This window comes from Homo sapiens, chromosome 8 (genome assembly GCF_000001405.40).
Source record: "Homo sapiens chromosome 8, GRCh38.p14 Primary Assembly".
Classification (NCBI taxonomy): domain Eukaryota; kingdom Metazoa; phylum Chordata; class Mammalia; order Primates; family Hominidae; genus Homo; species Homo sapiens.
This window is the reverse complement of record NC_000008.11, coordinates 18,773,284-18,797,323: the sequence shown is the minus strand read 5'-3', so window position 1 is coordinate 18,797,323 and position 24,040 is coordinate 18,773,284. Positions and strand designations below refer to the sequence as shown.

Sequence of the window (24,040 nt, the reverse complement as noted above, 5' to 3'; positions counted from 1 at the left end):
GAAGAGGGAGAAAATTATCAATAACAGTGAATCTCTGTCATATTCAGGATCATGTGTTTGGTGATAAGTAGTTCTCTGTTTTAAAAATGTGTGCGATATACTTGGGATTGTCTATTTAGGTTTTATGTATTAGTTTTCCATAATGCATGCTGTTACAAGTCTGTTGAATATATAGTAGCTATCATAAGAACTAACCATGTAAATATGTTTCTTCTATCTTTCTCCTCTGGATTCATTTTAAAAATAAATTATTCTTCTAGGTGGTAAGTTTTTAATCCATAATTCTGGATGTAGCTTCTCTTGCATCATGATTGCCTGATTTTTTTGTTGTTGTTTTAGTGTCTGTTTGACTTGTCAGCATGGCCCCTATGAAATCGAATCATGCAGGAGATAAAATGAATTATTTCTACTGTTCTGCTCCTTTTCACCTTCTCCTTAATGCTATACTACCTAGAATATGACCACCCATTACTTGATCCGATGCCAGAATAATCTTCATGGGGAATACACTAATCAACCATTATTCTTTTTTTCCTTACCGTTGTGTCATAATAGCAATACTGCAGCATGATCTTTCTAAGAAGTGCCAAGACCAGCTTGTCCTCATATGCTTTCAGTAGGGGAGGGGTGACTCCCCTATGAGGAGGTCTGACTCCCCTCTTGGGAGATTAACTTGTTTTGGCTGCTCTTGGTGAACCTTTCCTTTACTCTGAGGAATGAGGCACTGAGAATGCATTAATATGGGCCTTGGTTTGGCCTGCTAATTTCCTTACTAATAAAATAATGGAATGTATACTAATATTTTACTTACATTTAGCTAATGTGACATGTTGAAATCCCTTTCTTTTTCTAACTTTCCCCTTCAACAAACATGTATATAGCATGCGTGTGCCTCCTCCTTTCCATACTCTTTGCCATTTGGGTAAGGATCAGAGGTGAATGAGACAATGTTCATGGAAGCCAAATAATCCTCTCTGATGGTATTGGCTAGGCTGACCTCATTAGTCAGGTTTCACTGAAGACATGGTAGCAGGTTGCTGAGGTGCTATGATGGGAAAACACTGGGGAGGTGTTTTAATTTCATGTTGGATCATGTTAAACTTCTCTAATTAGGCTAGATAAAAAACAATCTGAAGTATATACAATATTTGGGGGGAGAATTCAGTACCTGCTTTTAAAAAAATGTGACTGATATATCATTTTCCTAGCAAGAGTATCTACTTGTTTTTACTTGTCTGCAAGTAGTTTATTCCCTTAAATTAAATATTTTATAATTGTAGTCGTGTGGTGAATTTGCTATATAATTTGTTTTATTTTTGAAATGCCTCTTTATCTACAAAATACTTATGTAAATTAAACTTCTACACATACAGATACATTTCTCTTAAACTCTAGAGTTTCTTTCTTTGCTATATTGGAACTAAGTTTTATTGAATATTGTTTCAACTATCAACAAGGTAAGAGTTGAAAGTCTTTTTCTTCAACCTTGTTTGAAATGGTATGGATAAGATTTGATATGTCAGAATAAGTTTATACTTACTCCCTTTCTGGATGGATCTTCAAATGCGTTCTGTTTCCTACCACTAACTAGCTTGCTTGTACTTCAGTCACAGTTTAGTCAGGTTCCTACCGTCCTGGCAGGATTATCACCCAGGGCTGGTGTTCTAAGGTGGTAGGAGGGTTAAGTATAGAATTGCATAGCAGTGAGGAGTGAGATAGATCAGAGCATAGTCAGCTGGCCAGTTCCACAACTAGAAAGTCACAAGAGATACACAAGTCAGTGGCTGGCCAAGGTCAGGCCATGGTAAGAGGCAGTAGCCAGGGCATTGTTTTTAATCAAGATTTTTTGACAAAATGTACCTTTTAACATCAAGGCTTGAGATTTTCAGTAGCAGTTTTGTCCAGCATCCCTCTGTTCTCCAGTATTGGCAGAAGCCAGCCCACCATGTACAATTGGTATAAGAGCCTGGTTGTGGTTCTTAGAGGTAGCTCTCTTTCTCGGGCTGGGCCTCCTACATATACTTTACCCTTGACATACTCAGAGCATGTTGAGTATCATGCCCTGTGGTCTGAGTTTAATGATCAGGCACGACCTTACTAATGTTTTTAGTGTTGGGTTGTAAGTTTGGAAAGGGTTGAAACCATATCTAGTACAACTTACTGGTAGGGAGAAGAATATAATCAAGGAAGAAAGTATGTTTAGGTTTTGTCACAGAACAGTGTTAAAAAAATGTGGAGTTCAGTGTGAGATAGATTGTAAGAATTCATTATTTCTTTTCTAATCTATAAACTTAATTATTGCATTGGCTTTCTAGGAGCCTAGAATCTTAAATAGTGGATAAATATTTGGTTTATTAGTAGTGGAAAATGACTATTATAAAAATTATTTTAAAAATTTAATGCTTCATGTAGGGGTGGGTTGCCCCTACACACCTGTGGGTGTTTCTCGTAAGGTGGGACGCGAGATTTGGAAAAGAAAAAGACACAGAGACAAAGTATAGAGAAAGAAATAAGGGGACCCGGGGAACCAGCGTTCAGCATATGGAGGATCCCGCCAGCCTCTGAGTTCCCTTAGTATTTATTGATCATCTGTGGGTGTTTCTCAAAGAGGGGGATGTGTCAGGGTCACAAGACAATTGTGGGGAGAGGGTCAGCAGACAAACACGTGAACAAAGGTCTTGGCATCATAGACAATGTAAAGGATTAAGTGCTGTGCTTTTAGATATGCATACACATAAACATCTCAATGCTTTACAAAGCAGTATTGCTGCCCGCAGGTCCCACCTCCAGCCCTAAGGCGGTTTTTCCCTATCTCAGTAGATGGAGCATACAATCGGGTTTTATACCGAGACATTCCATTGCCCAGGGACAGGCAGGAGACAGATGCCTTCCTCTTGTCTCAACTGCAAGAGACATTCCTTCCTCTTTTACTAATCCTCCTCAGCACAGACCCTTTACGGGTGTCGGGCTGGGGGACGGTCAGGTCTTTCCCTTCCCACGAGGCCATATTTCAGACTATCACATGGGGAGAAACCTTGGACAATACCTGGCTTTCCTAGGCAGAGGTCCCTGCGGCCTTCCGCAGTTTTTGTGTCCCTGGGTACTTGAGATTAGGGAGTGGTGATGACTCTTAAGGAGCATGCTGCCTTCAAGCATCTGTTTAACAAAGCACATCCTGCACCGCCCTTAATCCATTCAACTCTGAGTTGACACAGCACACGTTTCAGAGAGCACAGGGTTGGGGGTAAGGTTATAGATTAACAGAATCTCAAGGCAGAAGAATTTTTCTTAGCACATAACAAAATGGAGTCTCCTATGTCTACTTCTTTCTACACAGACACAGTAACAATCTGATCTCTCTTGCTTTTCCCCACAGCTTCATATTGTGCTATTTTATATTTTCACTGTCAAAAACATCACAGACTTCCATGATATTGATGAACCTCATAGAGTTAATATCCTCAAGAACTCTCTGCATCTGTAATGATCACTATTGTAACTGGCAGCTGTTAAGTACATTTGCAGGCTATCCTCTCATCGTCCTGCAGGATAATATCTTCCCTGTGGATACCTCTTCTGTCTGTGCTTCTCTGTATCTGTGATGCCCTCTGCCTTGAAAGGTGATGCCATCTGCCATGAAAGCTATCGTTGGCATTCAGTTTTCTCTCTGAGCTTTCCCCTGCTGTAGATTCCATCCATGGTCATAATTTCTACTGTGCTAGCACTGCCTTCTCCTTTGGAGTCCTCTCTCCTATCTCCTTGGTGCCGTGTTTGTCTTGTCTTACCTGGCTTTTTTTCCTAAATTATTATTTGCAAAGATCTTTTGATTTCTAACTTTAAGGTCAGGGGTCTATGTGCAGGATGTGCAGGTTTGTTACATAGGTAAACAAATGCCAACGTGGTTTGCTGCACAGATCATCTCGTCACCCAGTTTTGTTTTGTTTTTTTTTTCTATTTTGATACCTTACAGAGTTATTTTTTTATTTTTTATTTTATTTTGTTATTATACTTTAAGTTCTAGGGTACATGTGCACAACGTGCAGGTTTGTTACATATGTATGTGTGTGCCATGTTGGTGTGCTGCACCTGTTAACTTGTCATTTACATTAGGTATATCTCCTAATGCTATCCCTCCTCCCTCTCCCCACCCCACGACAGGGGGTGTGCAATGTTCCCCACCCTGTGTCCAAGTGTTCTCATTGTTCAGTTCCCACCTATGAGTGAGAACATGCGGTGTTTGGTTTTCTGTCCTTGCGGTAGTTTGCTCAGAATGATAGTTTCCAGCTTCATCCATGTCCCTACAAAGCATATGAACTCATCATTTTTATGGCTGCATAGTATTCCATGGTGTATATGTGCCACATTTTCTTAATCCAGTCTATCATTGATGGACATTTGGACTGGTTCCAAGTCTTCGCTATTGTGAATAGTGCCGCAATAAACATAAGTGTGCATGTGTCTTTATAGCAGCATGATTTATAATCCTTTGGGTATATGCCCAGTAATGGGATGGCTGGGTCAAATGGTATTTCTAGTTCCAGATCCTTGAGGAATCTCCACAGTGTCTTCCACAATGGTTGAACTAGTTTACAGTCCCACCAACAGTGTAAAAGTGGTCCTATTTCTCCACATCCTCTCCAGCACCTGTTGTTTCCTGACTTTTTAATGATCACCATTCTAACTGGCCCATCACCCAGGTATTAAGCCTGGCATTCATTAGCTGTTCTTCCTGATGTTCTTACTCCTCCCACCCTCCACCCTCTGACAGGCCCCACTGTGAGCTGTTCTGCCCCATGTGTCCATGTGTTCTCATCATTCAGCTCCCACTTACAAGTGAGCACACATGGTAATTGGTTTTCTGTTCCTGCCTTAGTTTACTAAGGATAATGACCTCTGGCTCCATCCCTGTCCCTGTAAAGGACATGATCTCATTCTCTTTTTGTGGCTGCATGGCATTCCATGGTGTATATGTACTACATTTTCTTTATCCAGCCCTTGATGAGCATTTAGGTTGATTCCATGTCTTTCCTACTGTAAATAGTGCTGCAATTAACATATGCATGCATGTATCTTTATAACAGAATGATTTCTGTTCCTTTACATATATACCCAGTAATGGGATTGCTAGGTCAAATGGTATTTCTGGTTCTAGGTCTTTGAGGAATTACCATACTGTCTTCCACAATGATTAAACTAATTTACACTCCCACCAACAGCGTAAAAGCATTCCTTTTTCTTCACAACCTCGCCATCATCTGTTGTTTTTTGACTTTTTAATAATGTAGCCATTCTGACTGGTGTGAGATGGTATCTCATTGTGGTTTTGATTTGCGATATTGATCAGTGATATTAAGGTTGTTTTCATGTTTCTTGGCCGCATATATGTCTTTTGAGAAGTGTCTCTTTGTGTCCTTTGCCCACTTTTTAATGTGATTGTTTGTTTTTTCCTTATACATTTAAATTCCTTGTAGGTGCCGGGTATTAGACCATTGTCAGATGGATAAATTACAAAATTTTTCTCGCATTCTGTAGGTTGTCTGTTGACTCTGATACTTTCTTTTGCTCTGCAGAAGCTGTTCAGTTTGATTGGATCCCGTTTGTCAATTTTTGCTTTTATTCCAATTGCTTTTGACATCTTAATCATGAAATTTTTGCCCATGTCTGTGTGCAGAATGGTATTGCCTATGTTTTCTGTTAGGGTTTTATTGGTTTTGGGTTTCACATTTAAGTCTTAAATCCATCTTGAGTCGATTTTTGTATATGGTGTAAGGAAGGGATCCAGTTTCAGTTTTCTGCGTATGGCTACCCAGTTTTTCTAGCACCATGTATTAAATAAGGAATCCTTTCCCCATTGCTTGTTTTTGTCAGGTTTGCTGAAGATCAGATGGTTGTAGGCATGCAGTCTTATTTCTGGGTTCTCTATTCTGTTCCATTGATCTGTGTGTTCATTCTTGTACCAGTACCATGTTGTTTGGGTTACTGTAGCCCTGTAGTACAGTTTGAAGTCAGACAGCACGATGCCTCCAGCTTGCCTCTTTTTGCCTAGCATTGCTTTGACTGTCTGGGTGGTTCTTTGCTTCCATATGAATTTTAAAATAGTTTTTTTCTAATTAAATGAAGAAGGTCAATGGTAGTTTAATGGGGATAGCATTGAATCTATAAATTGCTTTGGATAGTATGGCCATTTTCGTGATACTGACTCTTCCAGTCTTCTGTAAGCATGGAATGTTTTTCCATTTGTTAGTGTCATCTCTGATTTTTTTGAGCAGTGGTTTGTAGCTCTTCTTGAAGAGGTCCTTCATTTCCCTTGTTAGCTGTATTCCTAGGTATGTTATTCTTTTGTTGGCAGTTATAAACGGGAGTTCATTCATGATTTGGCTGTCGGCTTGACTTTTGGTGTGTAGGAATGCTAGTGATTTTTGCACATTGATCTTTGTATCCTGAGACTTCGCCAAGGTTGCTTATCACCTTGAGAAGCTTTTGGTCTATGTTTTTACCTGACTTGGAGCTTCCCAGACACAGTGGCCCCAAGGCCGTCATCCCTGCAGCTTCTCGGTGGTCCTAAGAGAAGGATCAGGGCTAGATCTCACAGTTGCAGAGGGTTTCTAGTGGGGCCTGGCGTTCATTTTCACCAATACTCTTTCTGTCTCCACAATAAGGATATAGAGAATAGCCTGAGAACCTAACCATTAGGTGTTGAAATGTTTTTATAGAAGAATGTTGGCCAGGCGTAGTGGCTCACGCCTGTAATCCCAGCACTTTGGGAGGCCAAGGTGGGCAGATCACGAGGTCAGGAGATAGAGACCATCCTGGCTAACATGGTGAAACCCCATCTCTACTAAAAATACAAAAAATTAGCCAGGCATGGTGGCGGGAGCCTGTAGTCCCAGCTACTTGGGAGGCTGAGGCAGGAGAATGGCATGAACCTTGGAAGCAGAGCTTGCAGTGAGCCGAGATCACTCCACTGCACTCCAGCTTGGGCAGCGAGCAAGACTCCGTCTCAAAAAAAAAAAAAAAAGAAAAGAAAAAAGAAAAATGTTATGATCTAAAAATGATGAATTGTAAATTGAAATTGAGAATATAATTTACTATCATATTGCCAATGGTCTAGACTTTAATAGGAATCCTTATCTAAGTATGCCATAGTTTAATCATGCACTGGTCAATTTTGTTGGATTCTATGACCTCTTAGAATGAAAGCCTTCTTTCCTTTTTTCCATCCTCTGTTCCTTCACCTGTCCCCTTTCCCCACCCTCTAGCCTCCCACTTTTGGTAGTTTTGCTTTTTTAAGAACAGGTTTATATATGGAAAATACCTCAGGGTAGCTTTAATCAGTTGTGTCAGTGGGGCTTATTGAGGGACCTCATATTATCTAACTTACACATTATTCAGTCTTCTTATCACTGTAAGCTTTTTACATTGGCACAGTTCTGTTATAGAACGTGATCAAGGAAAGCAGGTCAAATTCTAAGTCAGTTTCGCTCTTTCTTACTTTCTGCAAATTGATTGTGGAGGAAGGAGGGAGGAATGAGGATGATGGTGGCTGAAACCCCTGACTCTTGTTTCCAATCCTGTTGCTTACTTTAATGCCAGTCCTGCTACAGCAATCAAGTTAAAAATTGTTTGGTTAGTCCTTGTAATTTGACAGTGAGTTAGGTGTGTTTATCTTTTCAAATTTTAGGGGAAGTGCTTTCCATGAAATATCAATAGAAGTCTGATATTTCAGTATTCTAAAACTTTTTGGTCCCAGGATAGCTTTATACTCTTAAAATTTTTGAGAAGCCCCAAAATCTTTTGTTTACATATTAATATTTATCTGGAACTGAAACTGATAAGATTTTTAAATTGCATTAAATCATTAAAAACCCATTAAGTGAATAACACATTTATGAATAATAGTCATACTTTCCTAAGTGAGAAATATATTAAAGAATAGCACTTAAAATTGTTGCTAGTCTTTTTATATTTGGCTTAGTAAAAGATGGCTAGATTCTCATATCTGTTTGTGTTTATAGTCGGTTGCAGTGTATCAGAAGTCATGCATCTTCTAGAAAACTCTACTGTATATTTGAGAGAATGAAAAAAATGTTTTTAGTGTTACTATAAAAATAGGGTTGACCTCATGGACATCTGGAACAGTATCTCTGAAACGCTTTGAGAACCACTGTGCTGTGGTACTATTTTTAGTTCCTTTTTTTCTTTTTACCACTCTGATTCCTTTTTCAAAGGCAGGATATTATAGGACAGGTGGGAGAAGTCCCAGTGACATATCAGATATTCCTAAATGTTGAGCTTTTAGCACTTAAATGAGCTCTGTGATTAGGGTTTGTGAGAGAGCACATTGAATATCCACTGTAGTCCTGGTTTTAAAATTTACAAAGGGTCCTCCTTTGCCCCCCAGTCATACATTTAAAAAGGAATGGACACCTGAGGGCAGCATGACATAATCAAACTTATTTGATAGCAAAGCATGCAAAATAAAAGCAAAACAGGAGCTTTCAGCAGAGCCACATAACTGAAGTAATTACCAAATCAGTAGTATGCCTTTCCACCATTTATTGTAACATGTTGGAGGAGGTGGAATTGTCATATGGGAGAGTATGCCTGCTGTGTTTTTAATATCCTGAGATTTATGAAGCCAGATTTTACCAATGGATGATGAGGGCTTTTAGTTTCTCCAAAAGCACGTTTTCCGCAAAGCTTCCAGACCTGACACTATCAAAAATGAAGAATTTTAGAATCATTATGCTTAATTCTTCAACCTCTGAATCAGAGTATATGCTGTTGTCAGCTTTCCTAGTGAATACCTGATTGACACAGCTGCCCTATTCGCAGCTCTCCTAGGGCTGATTTTAAGTTAGGCGATGGTCAGAGCTTTGTAGGTTACATTCCCCAGATTGCCAGGGATGGCACGCTCAAAGATTTGGTCACCCGCTTGCTGAGTTTGGTGCCGAAGCTTGTATACGGTTTCTGGCTGCTCCTGATATGAATGAAATTCTCCATCTTCATTTTCCCCTTTGCTCTCGTTATTGCAACAGAAGTTGGGAGCTGCTTCTCTGTTATGGTCAGGGGAAAGTGCCCTTTATTTTAACAAAGCGAAAACCTGCATTTGGAGAATAGAATACATCAGGATGCCTAACCTGTTTGCTTGCTCGCTCACGATGTTGTCCTCAGTACCAATACCACTTCCTTCTGGTTTTCTTTAAGACAAGGGGTAGACAAGTTATGACTCATAGGCAAAATCCATCTGGGGCTTGTTTCTGTAAATCAGTGTTATCGTAAATAGCCAAACCCAGTTGTTTACATCTTCACACCAATTATAGTGTTGAATAACTGTAACAGAATATATGACTTGCAAAGCCTAAAATATTTACTCTCTGGTCCTTTACAGAAATTTACAGAATTTGTCTGTTTTGGAGTCTTGCCCTTAGTTCACGAAACCTGCTAGAGCTTGGACACTTGTTTCCCCAAATTCTTTACTAAAAATTGTTTATGGGAATGTATTAAACATATTGAGGATAAGTTCTTCCAGAAATGATAAATTTATCAAGGAACTTTGCTCTAAAGGGCATTTAATGTATCTTTAAACGAACACAAACAGAGAAAACATCTTTTTATCATAAGAAAGCATTTGAAAATGGTAATATTGTCGCTGCAGAGAGTAGCCTTAAATTGTTGCGGGATGACGTAGGCCTCCGATATAGAGAGTATTTTGACTTTTGATTAATATTTGCTCCCATAAAGGATGATACCTTGATTAGCCAAATATTTAAGAATTGGGCCTGCCTGGAATTTTGGGGTTCCAAATAGAATTTTTTTTTAAACTTTCCACTTTGTCATCTATTTTGTTATTTGATATTTTTTAAGTTTGATTAAAATGCCTACTGATTTTAAAGGTAATGATCCAGAGCTTCATCTTTAGTTGCATCTGTTTTGATAGAAAATATATTGATTTCAAGGTACCATTTCTGTACCTCTCAATGCATCAGGAGGCATTTTCAAATCTCCATGCTTTATTGATTTAATGGGAAGAAATTTAAAATATGAAAAAGTATTATTAAAGTACTTTATTGGCATGCAACTGGTCAACATTTGTTTCAGAGCAGAACTACTTTTATGCAAAGTTATCCAAAACTAATTTGGGAAGAAAATGAATGGAACTGTGATAGTGTATGAGCTTCTCTTGGATACTTATGAAGCCTTGAGCCACAAAATCACTGATTAGAATTTGCTTTATTCGTTGAGTAGTGTTTGCCTGAATAATAGTATTTTAAAATAATTGAGACAGCCTGGTACATGACAAGGAGAAAAAAATCCAGACATCGTGAGGAGTATTTCTTGATGACAAAGACTTCATTTTACTTTTATTCCCTTTGGAAATGGTATAAACGCCTGAGTGGAAGGAATGTGTTTAAATATGTGCCAGTAAGCAGCAAAATGGACTGATCTGACTCCTCACCTTTTGTTCCTAATAATTCTTGCCTAGAAGAATGATCAGTGAGTCAGAGGAGTACAATCAACAGATAAAAGCAACTTCAGCTAGTCAAGCATTCGAGAAGTTGTTGGACATTTTTAACACATAGAAAACCACATTATCTTTATTCTCTGAACCAGTAAAGAAAATTAAGGTACAGTCTATTGGATGATTGTACTAATACTTGCTTACTGCGTAGGACTCCAAGTATTTGAATTGGCTTTTGTTGGTCTGAATCTATATATCCATCTTGCCCACCTAACTGCTATTTTTCCTAATGGCTGTTTCAAAGTCCACGTGAGTCAAATTGGTATCTTTGTGCTGACATAGATAATGGTATGGTCACTGTTGAAATTGGACAGAAGGCACTGCCAAATAAGCAGTTAAAGTAAATCTGAATTTAGGATGAGGTATGATTTCATAGACCAAAATAGCTTCATAGACTTTACTGTTTTAAAATGTTATGAATTATGACAATTATTACTTAAATGATGTTTTTAATAATTCCTTAAAGTAGAAATTAATGGTGTCCTGAAAAAACACTTTTGACTCTGTAGCCTTTAAATATCTTGTTCATGAATCTCCCAAAAGAATTTTTTTTAAATAGTATCTCTTCTTCAAGTTTAAATTGGAAAACTTTTTGTTTGAAACGGAGTCTCGCTGTGTCACCCAGGCTGGAGTGCAGTGGCGCAATCTCGACTCACTGCAAGCTCCACCTCCCGGGTTCACGTCATTCTCCTGCCTCAGCCTCCCGAGCAGCTGGGACCACAGGGAAACTTTTTATTGTAAGTTTAAGTATAGGCGTATCTCATTTTATTGTCCTTTGCTTTATTACACTTTGCAGTCACTGAACATTTTTCCTAACAAAGTGAAGGTTGATGGAACCCTGCGTCAAGCGAGTCTTATCAGTGCCATTTTTCAATGAACCATTCCCATATAAGACAGCAGACTTAATTGATAAATATATATGTTTTGACTGCGCCAAAGGCTGGCCATTCCCCCATCTCTGTCTCCTCAGGCCTCCCTATTCCCTGAGACACAACAGTATTGAAATTAGGCCAATTAATAGCCTTAGAATGGCCTCTAAGTGTTCAAGTGAAAGGAAGAGTTTCATACGTCTCGCTTTGAATCAAAACCTAGAAATGATTAAGTTTAGTGAGGCTGAGATAGGCCAGAAGCTAGGCCTCTTGCACCAGACAGTTAATAAAGTTGTAATGTAAAGGAAAAGTTCTTGAAGGAAATTAAAAGTGCCATTCCGGTGATCACAAGAATAAGAAAGCAAAACAGCCTTATTACTGATACAGAGCAAGTTTTGGTGGTGTAGATAGGGTATCCAACCAGCCACAGTATTCCCTTACACCAAAACCTAATCCAGAGCAAGGCCCTGAGTCTCTTCAATTCTATGAAGGTCGAGAGAGGTGAGGAAGCTGCAGAAGAAAAGTTGGAAGCTAGGAGAACTTGGTTCATGAAGTTTTAGGAAAGAAAGTGTCTTCATAACCTAAAATGCTTGGTGGAGCAGCAAGTGCTAATGTAGAATCTGAGGCAAGCTATCCAGAAGGTCTAGGTAAGATATTTTTTCCTAGAAACAAGGAAGAACATTTTATAATAAGGGTCATTTCATCAAGGTGATAAAACACTTCCAATCAATATAAGCCCCAGTGATACTATGACAAATAAGAAATACAGATTTGGTCTCTGCTCCTGGTTCTTGAAATGGACCTCCTGAGTGACAGCAGTTCTGACACAGGGTTCCTAGATGCCTTGGATGAATGATAGGAGCATTGTTTATTCTAATGAGGCAAGCCTTGGTGAGCTCCTAGATAAGCTCAGCAAGGGGACAGGTTGTTAGGGGAAATAACCATGTGATTAGAGGGTTGGAATTTTCAGCCTCCCCTCCTTCCGCACACACCCCACCTCCAGGGAGCAAGAATAGGGTGAAGGTTTAGTTAATACCACTGACCATTGATTTAATCAGCCATGTCTGTGTTATAAAGCCTCTGTAAAAACCCAAAGTATGGGGTTTGGAGAGCTTTGAGGTTGGCAAGTACATCTATGTGCTTGGAAGGTGGGCATCCCAACATCACAGGGACAGAAGCCCCAACACTTAGGACCTTTTCAGACCTCACTCTGTGTATCTCTTTATCTCACTGTTTATCTATATCCTTTGCAATATCTTTGATATTAAAGGGATAAATGTTTCCCTGAGTTCTGTGAGCCCTCCTAGTAAATTAAACCCAGATAGATGATCCTGCAAACCCCCATTTATAGCTGATTGGTCAGAAGTATAACTGACAACCCACTGCTACCAATTGACACCCGAAACTTGGGGTGATCTTGTAGGGCTGAGCCCTTAACCTGTATGAGCTCATGAAATCAGCAGATACATAGTATTATAATTGAATTATAAAACACCCAACTGGTGTCTCCTGGAGAATTGGTTGTGAATGTGGAGAAACCCCCACATACTTCAGTGACTATTGTGTTGAGTGGTGTATGAGTGTAGGGAAAAAGTCTTATTCCTTCTGAACACATAATAAGCCGTGAAAGAACAATGGACAGAATTGGAGGGAGAAATTGTTTTATTGAGAAATTAGCACCGTATATTAAATAATGCTTAGAATCACCACGCACGATATCAACAAGGAAATAGACTTGAACAACATAAAAACCAACTAGATCTAACAGATACCTGATGACAGGAGAGTAATCTTTAAAGTGTACATGAAAAATGCTCAAGGATAGGACAAAATTCGCAAAAAGGGATTGAAAACATACAAAACATGTTTCTGGACATAATAGAATGATATTAGAAATCAATTAAAGGACATTTATGTAGTCATACAATATACTCCTAAATAACCAATAGGTCCAAAAAAAATTTACAAGAGGAACTAAAAGATAGTGATGAAAATAAAAATATGTTGGCCGGTTGCAGTGGCTCATGCCAGCAGTCTGGGAGGCCGAGGCAGGCAAATCACTTTGAGGTCAGGAGTTCGAGACCAGCCTGGCCAACATGGTGAAATGCCATCTCTACTTCAGAATACAAAAAATTTGCCAGGCATGGTGGCATGCACCTATCATCCCAGTTACTCGAGTGGCTGATGTGAGAGAATCACTTGACCCAGGAGACGGAGGTTGCAGTGAGCTGAGATTGTGCCACTGCACTCCAGCCTGGGCAACAGAGCAAGACTACGTCTCAACAACAACAAAAAAAGCAAAATGAAAATACAACATAAAAAACTTATGGTATACAGCTGATGAATTGCCAAATTGCAAATTATTGCTCTAAATTGCTGTATTTTAGAAAAATGTCAAATTTACAGTCTAACCTAATGAAAGAAACAAAAGCAAACTCAGTCCAAAGAAGGGAAAGAATAATCAGAGCAAAGATGAATTAAACAGAGAATAGAAGAGTAATAGAGAAAAAGCAATGAAATCAGAAGCTTGTTTTTTGAAAAGATCAACAACTGACAAAAGTTGAATTAGACTGACCATGAGTAAAAGAACTCTCAAATTACTAAAATCAGTAATGAAGAGGGCATTACTATTGGCCTTATGGAAGTAACTACTGTAAGTGAATATTGTCAACAGCTAGATAACCTAGATGAAATGAACAAATTCTTAGAAAGATAAAAACTACTGAAACTCAAAAGGAAACAAAACCTGAATAGATCCTTAGCAAGTGAAGAGTTTAGTAATCAGAAAACTTCCTACAAAGAAAAGCCTAAGATCAAATGGCTTTACTTGTGAATTGCATCGACATTTAAAGAAGTTTTAACATCAGTTTTTTTACACCCTTCAGAAAAAAAGAGTAACACTTTTTAAGTAATTCTATGAGAGCACTATTACCCTGATACCAAAATGAGACAAGTCATGATAAAGATATCCCTTATGAATATTTCTTGCATTCTAAAACAAACCTAATTCAACAAAATATAAAAAGGATTATATAGCATGACCAAGTGAGACTGCCACTGCCCTGCCTACGGCCATGTGCCACCCAGCTGCGTGCCACTTGGATGCTCGGTGATGGCCACTAGGCCCTTTGTACCCCTAACTGCTGGCACCCAAAGCTGTAGCTTGGGGCCCCAAGTTAGCCCTCTGCTGCTGTTGCAGCCGCAGACATTATGCATACCATCTAAGGGCCTGAGGACCCATTCACTCAGCCCATTGTTGCCACTGCTAGCACACAGACAATCCACTTGAAGACCAAGGATTCGTCCTCCTGACCTGCTTTTACCAATATCCACGTGTGTTGACCGAGATCCTGCATATCCATCCCAGAGTTGCCATCACTGTTGCCTAAGAACTGGCCTGCCTGATGTCCCTTTCACTAGCAAAGCCTCACTACAGCCGTTACTAAAAGCCACAGCTTTATCCACTGAGGAACTCATAGACACCACTGATGCTAAAGATAGTCAAAGAAGTCATATGGAGACTGCACTGCTTCTCCCACCCAGAATCAAAGCCAAAACGCCTTACCCAAACAACTCTATAGATAGCTCTATAGAAAAAAATGTCTTTCCCTTCGAAACCCAATCCATAGAGTTGGATGAAGCAAATGTTACACCAGATGCATAGATATAAATGTAAGGACACAAGAAACATGAGAAATCAAGGAAGCATGAAACCATCAAAGGAACACAATAATTCTCCAGCAACAGATGCCAATATTAAAAAAAATCTATGAAATACCTGAAAATGAATTCAAAATATTTCTGAAAACCCAGGTACTACAGAAAACAGATGAACAATGCAAAGAAACATTTCACCATCTGTATGAGAAATTCAACAAAGATGTCAGAAAGAAGTTAAATAGAAATCCTGAAACTGAAGAATTCAAAGAGTAAAATAAAAAATATAATCATCAGTTTCAATAACAGACTCTAGATCAAGCAGAAGAATTTGTAAACTTGAAGACAGGTCTTTTGAAATAACCTGAGCAGATAACATTTTTAAAAAAAATAAAAACGAAGAAAGCTTATGTAACACATACAATGACGAAATAGTGGAATTTTCAGTTTTCCTGGAAGAGAACAGATGGGTAATGGCATAGAAAACCCATTTAACGAAATAATAGGTAAAAACTTCTCAAGTCTTGGAAGAGATACAGACATCTAGATATAGGAAGCTCGAAGATCTTCAAATATATTCTACCCTGAAAGGCCTTCTCCATGCCACTTCATAGTCGAACTGTTAAAAGTCCAAGAAAAAGAGAATTCTAAATACAGCAAAGGGGTCAAGTCACAGAGAAGAGTATCCCTATCACACTAATAGCAAATTTCTTAGCAGAAACCTTCCAGGCCATGTTCCACGGTGGAAAAGTCTATACAACCCTACCCCCAAAGTTCAAGGAATATGAGAGGCCAAAGAAAGAGGCTGACAAATTCAGTTTCTTAGAAACATTTAATAGGGACTTAGGAACATTTAATAGGGATTGTGTCTTGGGAGGTACTTCAAGAGACAAAGATGGTGGATCCCTGTGCCTTTACTCCCAAGACCTAGGGCTTATATGCCATAGAAAAAGGATATGCATGCATCAGAAGGGCTGTGTAGGATAACTGCTTAAGGGCATTGATTATAGCAAGTACAATAACATTTACATTGTTTTGACCTAGGAATGGGATTTATGGTAAGTACATGCTCTTAAGTAAAAATAAACTGGAAATCTTAGAGGCCTTCTTGGAACTGGGGTTAATAAGAAATCAACGTGGTGGATGGAATTACTTTGGCCACTGCAGTCCAGGAGTAAATGAAATGATAACTCCAAAGTGGTGAAAAGCAGAACAAACAAAAAAACACAACTGTCAGCCAAAAATATTATACCTGGGGAAGATATAAAAAATGAAGGAGAATAAATGCTTTCCAAAGCAAGGAAAAATTGAAGTTAATCACCACTCTACTGGCCCTACAAGAAGAGGTCAAGGGAGCCCTGCATTTAGAAGATAAAGGACAATATCTGTCATAATCAAAACACATAAAAGTATAAAACTCTGGGCCAGGCGCGGTGGCTCACGCCTGTAATACCAGCACTTTGGGAGGCCAAGGCAGGCGGATCATGAGGTCAGGAGATTGAGACCATCCTGGCTAACACAGTGAAACCCCGTCTCTACTAAAAATACAAAAAAATTAGCCAGGCTTGGTGGCAGGCACCTGTAGTCCCAGCTACTCAGGAGGCTGAGGTAGGAGAATGGCGTGAACCCAAGACGCAGAGCTTACAGTGAGCCAAGGTCGCACCACTGCACACTCCAGCCTGGGCAACAGAGTGAGTGTCGGTCTCACAAAAAAATAAATAAATAAATAGAGGAGGCAAGTGTTACTACTACAGAAAACCAGCAAACCACAATGATAAGAGGAGAACAGGATGAGAGGATACACAAAACCAAAAAATAATTCACAAAATGACAGGAATTAAGTACTGAATAATAACCTTGAATGTAAACAGTTTAAATTCCCCCCTTAAAAAATATAGATTGGCTGAATAGAAAAACAAAAAAAAAATGACTTAACTATATACTGCCTATAAAAAACTGACTTTACTGGTAAAGACACGTAGACTCAAAGTGAAGGGATGGAAAAAGATAATCCATGCAAACAGAAACCAAAAGCAAGCATGAGTAGCTACACTAGTATCAGATAAAATAGACTTTAAGCCAAAAAGCGGCAAAGAAGGTAATTCTATAATGGTAGAGGGACCATTTCAGCAAGAAGATTAAACAATTCTAAATATTTGTGCGCCCAACACTGGAGCATGCAGATATAGAAAGCAAACATTATTGAATCTAAAGGGAGAGACTGAGTCCAATAAAATCAGATTAGGTGTCTTCAACAACTGACTCTCAGCCTTGGACTGATCATCTAGCCAAGTCATCAACAAAGAGGTATTGGATTTAAACTTCGTTTTAGATCAAATGCGCTTGATAGACATTTACAGAACATATTGTCCAACAGCTACAGAACAAGTATTCTTATCACATGGGACATTCTTGAGGCTAGACTATTTGTTATACAACAAAAGTAGTCTCAACGATTAAAAAAATAGAAATAATATCACGTATCTTCTCAGACCACGATGGAATAAAACTAGAAATCAACAATGAGAACTTTGGAAATTGTACAAATACAAGGAAATTAAGCCACAATTATGAGCCATCACTGGATTTAAGGAGAAATAAGAAACAAAAAGTTTCTTGAAACAAATCAAAATGGGAACACAACATATCAAAATATGTGGGATACAGCAAAAGCCATGATAAAAGGATGTTTAATAGCAACAAATACTTACATGAAGAAAGTAGAAAGATTTTAAAGAACCTATTGATGCACCTCAAGGAACTAGAAAAGCAAGAACAAACCAGATACAAAATTAACAGCAGGAAATAATAAAGTCAGAGCAGAACTAAATTAGAGGTGAAAAAAAGGCTATACAGAGGATCAGTGAAATGAAGAGTTGGGTTTTTTTTTTGAGAGAATAAACAACATTCATAAATTGCTGGATAGACTAACCAAGATTAAAAAAGAAGACACAAATAAAATCCCAACCAAAAAAGGAGACAGTAAAACTTATATCCCACAAAAATAGAAGATTGTTAGAGACTATCGTGAACAACTGTCTGAACAAATTGGAACCTACGGGAAACAGATTCATTCCTGGACATGAGGAAACTACCAATATTTGGCCATGAAGAAATAGAACACCTGAACAGATCAATAATGAGTAATGAAACTGATTCAGTAATAAAATGTCTTCTAACAGAGAAAAGCTTGAGCCCAGGAGATTTTTACTGCTGAATGCTACAAACTTACAAAGAAGATCTAACATCAGTTCTCCTCAAACTATTCCGAAAAATTGGAGAGGAGGGATTTTTTCCTAGCTTGTTCCATGAGGCCAGAATTACCTTGATGCCAGAACCAGATAAGGATACAATAAGAAAACACTATAGGCCAGTATTCCTGACGAACTTAGATGCAAAATTCCTCAGCAAAATACCAGCACACCAAATCTAACAAATCAATAAAAAGATCATTCACGATGATCAAGTGGGTTTTATTCCAGGGATGGTAGGATGGTTTATTATATGTAAATCAATAAACATGATACGTCACAAAAAGGTCAAAAATTATATTTTTAATATAATTATATATTTTTGCATCTCAAATGCAAAAAAAGGGTTTCATAAAATTCAACATCCCTTCATAATAAAAAAACTCAATAAATTAGACATAGAAAGAACACATCATAGTAAACGCCATGTATGACAAAGCTGCAGCTAACTACATACTGAGGCAGAACTGAAATCCTTTCTTCTAAGAACTAAAACAAGATAAGGATGCTCACCTTCACCACTCATATTCAATATAGTACTGGAAGTCCTAGCCAGAGTAACCAGGCAAAAGAAATGCATCCACGTTTGAAAAGGGGAATTCAAATTGTCCTTTCTTCAGATAACATGATCTTATATATAGAAGAACCTAAAGACTCTACCTGAAACTCTTAGATCTGATAGATGAACTCAGTAAAGTTTCAAGGTAAAAAATCAGTGTACACAACTCAGCAGTGTGTCTATTCTCTAATAATGAACTAGTTGAAAAAGAAATCAGGAAAGTAATCCCATTTATAACAGCTACAAAAGAAAAAACCTGGGAATAAATTTAACCCAGGAGTAATTTCATTCGATCCAGCAACCCCACTACTATGTTTTTATCCAAATGGAAGGAAATTAATGTCAGAGTTATAGGGCATCCCTGTACTTACTACAGTACTATTCTTGATAGCCAAGATATGGAATTAATCTGTGTCCATCAACTTATGAATACACAAAGAAAATGTAACATATATACATAATAGAATATTACTCTTCCATTAAAATGAAATCTTGGCATTTACGGTAACGTGGATAAAATTACATTTCATTATATTGAGTGAAGTAAGTCAGGCATTGAAAGACACATATTGTATGCTCTCCCTCATGAGGGAGTTTAAAAAGTTGATATCATGGACATAGAGAGTAAAATGATATTTACCAGAGGCTGTGGATAGTGGTGGTGGTGGGATTAAAGGGAGGCGAATGGAAACATATAGTTAGAAGGAATAAGTCCTATTCTTTCATAGCACCGGAGGATGAATATAGTTTATAATTGTTGAATATTTCAAAATAGCTGGAAGATTTGAAATGATCCCAACACAGAGATGTAGTAAATGTTTGAAGTGATGGGTATCCAAAATATCCTGATTTGATTATTACACATTACATGCATATTTCAAAATATCACATGTACCCCATAAATATGTATAGTTATTATGTGTTAATGTTTTCTTAAACTTAGATTTCAGATAAACAATCTAATGAAACACTGTAAAGAACTAGAAAAGCATGGGAAAAAAACTCAACATTAGTGGAAGGAAACAATAAAGGTCAGAGCATAAAAAGTGAAGTTCAGATTTTAAGAAACAATTTAAAAGGTCAACAGAAATGAAAAGTTGGGTTTTTTAAAACATTGGCAAAATTGGCAAGGCACAGTGGCTCACACTTGTAATCCCAGCACTTTGGGAGGCCGAGGTGGGTGGATCAGGAGGTCAGGAGATCGAGACCATCCTGGCCAACATGGTGAAACCCTGTCTCTACTAAAAATAGAAAAATTAGCTGGGCGTGGTGGTGCATGCCTGTAGTCCCAGCTACACGGGAGGCTGAGGCACAAGAATTGCTTGAACCCAGGAGGCAGAGGTTTCAGTGAGCCAAGATCGTTCCACTGCACTCCAGTCTGGGCAATAGAGGTAGACTCCGTCTCAAAAAAACAAAAGGCAAAATTGACAAACTTTTTGCTAGTCTAAGAAAAAAGACCAAAATCAATAAAATCAGAAACAAAAAAAGAGACATAACTACTGATACCGCAGAAATACAAAGAAACACAAAATCATTAGAGACTCTTATGAAGAAGTATTCCCCAACTACTTGGAAAAACGAGAAGTGGAGGTATTTTTAGAAACATACAAACTACCAAGAAGATTCAAGAACCACGAAGTTCATCGGGAACTTTGAAGAAAGAAAAAACTTGAACAGACCAGTAATGAGTAACGAGATCAAAGCACTAATAAAATGGTCTCCCATCAAAGGGAAGCTCATGATCTGACAGTTTCACTGCTCAGTTCTGTCAGACATTTAAAGAAGAACCAGGCCAGATGCGGTGACTCACACCTGCAATCCTAGCACTTGAGGAGGCCAAAGCTAGCAGATCACGAGGTCAGAAGTTCGAGACCAGCCTGGCCAATATGGTGAAACCCTGTCTCTACTAAAAATAGAAAAAGTAGCCAGGTGTGGTGGCCTGTAGTCCCAGCAACTCGGGAAGCTGAGGCAGACGAATCACTTGAACCTAGGAGGTATAGGTTGCAGTCAGCCGAGGTTGTGCCACTGCACTCCAGCCTGGGCAAGAGATCGAGACTCCGTCTCAAAAACAAAAAAAAAAAATTATATATATACATATATTTAGATATATATATTTTTATACTATATATATTTATATAGTTTATATATATTTTATACTATATATATTTATACATTATATATATATTTATACATTATATATATATAGAGAGAGAGAGAGAGCCATGGTAACCAATATAGTATGGTACTGGCATGGAAATAGACACATTGGTCAGTGGAACAGAATAGAGAAACCTAGAAATCCATGCATTTATAGCCAACTTAGTTTTGACAAAGGCTCCAAGAACATACTTTGAGGAATGGGGAGTTTCTTCAATAAATGGTGCTCAGAAAACTGGATATGCTTATGAAGAAGAATCAAACTAGACTCTTAACTTTCACAATTTACAAAAATCACCTCAACTTGGATTAAAGAGTTAAATGTAAGAACTAAAAATATGAAACTACTAGAAGAAAAGATTGGGGAAACACTACAATGGTGGGATGAGTAAAGATTTTGCAGGGGGTCGGCGGGGGAGGGGAAGACCTCTAAATTATGAGCAACAAATGCTAAAATATTTAGATGTGGTGTCCCATCAAGCTAAAACCCTTCTGCCCAGTAAAGGAAATAATCAACAAAGTGAAGATACAAGCTACAGAATGGTAGAAGATATTTTTGAGCTATCCATTTGAAAAGGGATTAATAACCAGAATATATAAGTAACTCAACAGCAAATGGTCAAATAACTCGATTTTAAAATGGGCAAAATTTTTGATTGAATAGGTATTTCTCAAAAGAAGACATAGAAATGGCCAACAGATACATGAATAGATGTTCAGTGTTACAGGGAAATGCAAATCAAAACCACAGGAGATATCATTTTACCCGAGTTAAAATGGTTTTTATCAAAAAGACAATAAACAATGAGTGCTGGCCAGAATGAAAAGAAAGGGAAACTCATACACTCTCTGAAAAAGACAGTATGAAAAAGAGTGTGAATGCTCATTGAAAAACTATAGAACTACCATATGACTCTCCATTCCCACTGCTTGGTATATATTTAAAAGAAACGAAGTCAGTATATTCAAGAAATGTCTGCACTCCCATGTTTATTGTAGTACTATTCACGTTAGCCAAGATATGGAATTCACCTAAATGTTAATTTATAGATGAATGGATATAGAAAATGTGGTACATAAATATAAGTGGAATATTACTCGGCCATAGAAAATGATGAAATTATGTTATTGGTAGCAATGTGGATGGAACACAGAGGTCATTATGTTAAGTGAAGTAAACTGGCACAGAGCGACAAATACCACATGTTCTTTCTCAAACTTGGGGGGGCTTAAAAAGTAGATTTCATGAAGGTAGAGAGTAGATTGGTGGTTACCAGAAGGTAGGAGGAGGAGGGGCACAGGGGATTTAGAAAGGGTTTTGAAAGGTTGATTAATGGGCACTTTTCTCTTTCCCTCGGGGCATTTGGCAGCGGTGGTGGCTTTTGCAGCCGTAGCCAAGATTAAGGCTCAGGATCTTTGAGGCAAGAAGGAAGAGGAGCTGCTAAGACAGCTGGACAACCTGAAGGTAGACCTGTCCCAGATGTATGTCGCCGAAGTGACAGGTGCCCGACATTCCAGTTCTCTTAGATTGTAGTCATTTCCAAATCTGTTGCCTGTGTTCTCACCGTCATTAGCCAAACTCAGAAAACAAACCTCAGGAAGTTCTACAAGGGCAAGAAATACTAGCCCCCAGATCTGTGGCCCAAGAATACTTGTATCATGTGCCACTGGCTGAACAAGCATAGGGAGAACCTGAAGACCAAGAAGCAGCAGCAGCAGGAACAGGCTGTACCAACGACAGAAGTAAGAGGTCTAGGCATGAACATTGCTGAGTCAAAATTCAAACTGGAGGAAAAAAAAAGGTGTTAGGTTAATGGGCACAAAAATACAGTTAGAAGGAACACGATGTATTGTTCAGTACTGCAGTAGAGTGACTATAGTTAACAATAATTTGTATATCTTAAAATAACTGGTGGAGAGCAATTGAAATGTTCCCAACACAAAGAAGGGGTGAATTTTTGGGGAGATGGATGTCTCTTTTGCCCTGTTCTGATCATTATACGATATATACATATATCAAGATATCACATGTACTCTAAAAATATATGTAGCTATTATGTTTCAGTTTTTAAAAACTCTGTTTATATGTAGCATAATAAAATATTTTGTGTCTTTAAAACAAAATTAAAGGAATAACTAAAGGAATCTGTATGGGAGAACTGATCTTGTGTGTAGAGGATCTTCAGGACTATACAAAAGAAAAAACCTATTAGGACTAAAGACGTTCAGCAAGGCTGCAAAATACAAGTTGAGCATTTGCAAAACAATTGCATTGCTATATACTAGCAATGAACATTAAAAGTGAAATAATTTTACAGTAGCATCAAAAAATCAAGATATTAGAGAATAAATTTAACAAAATAAGTTCAAGTGAAACTACAAAATACTGAAGAAAGGAACTGTAAAAGTGGAAAGATCTTTTATAGTCATGTATTGGAACTTTATTGTTAAGACTGAAGTACTCTCCAAACTGATCTTCAGATTCCACAGAATCACTGTGAAAATCCAAGTTCACTTTGTATATGTATGTAAAGAAATGGACAGACAAATCCTGAAATTTATGTGGAAATGGAAAGGGCCCAGAATAGTCAAAATATAGAAAAAGAGGCAAAAAATTGGAGGACTCCTGATTTCTCCATTTCAAAACTTATCAAACCATGCTGCAGAATAATAAGATGCAAATAAAAGGGAAAATATTTCATGTTCATGGACTGGAAGACTTAATTTTTTTATATATTATACTATACAAAGTAATCTACAGATTCAACACGATTACTATCAAAATCTCAATAACATTTATCCCAGAGATGGAAAATGTTCTAAAAATCATATGAGAGTTCAAGGTACCCCAAATAATCATAACAGTTTTGAAAAAGAACAGAGTTAGAGTACTCGTATGTTATTTTAAACATATTACAAAGCTACAGTAGTCAAAATAGTGTGGAACTGGCATAAGGACAGGCTAATGGAATAGAATAGAGTGCACAAATCCTCAAATCTTCAACAAGAGTGCTAAGACCACTCA

At 38.0% G+C, this 24,040-nt stretch overlaps 1 protein-coding gene and 1 pseudogene across 31 annotated transcripts in view; both read left to right on the top strand.

Moving 5' to 3' along the window:
* PSD3 (pleckstrin and Sec7 domain containing 3) overlaps window positions 1-24,040 on the top strand; it is a 557,503-nt gene that overhangs the window by 287,482 nt on the left and 245,981 nt on the right. For 2 of the 31 annotated variants that reach the window (NM_001412867.1, NM_001412879.1), the window contains exon 9: window positions 22,386-23,160. The exons of the other annotated variants lie outside the window; for them this stretch is intronic. In NM_001412867.1, the coding sequence (NP_001399796.1) occupies window positions 22,386-22,409 (24 nt within the window). In that variant the 3' untranslated portion in view covers window positions 22,410-23,160. Of the gene's footprint in view, window positions 1-22,385; window positions 23,161-24,040 lie in introns of those variants that run through there. 31 annotated transcript variants of the gene reach the window in all.
* Window positions 22,361-22,777, top strand: RPL35P6 (ribosomal protein L35 pseudogene 6; annotated as a pseudogene).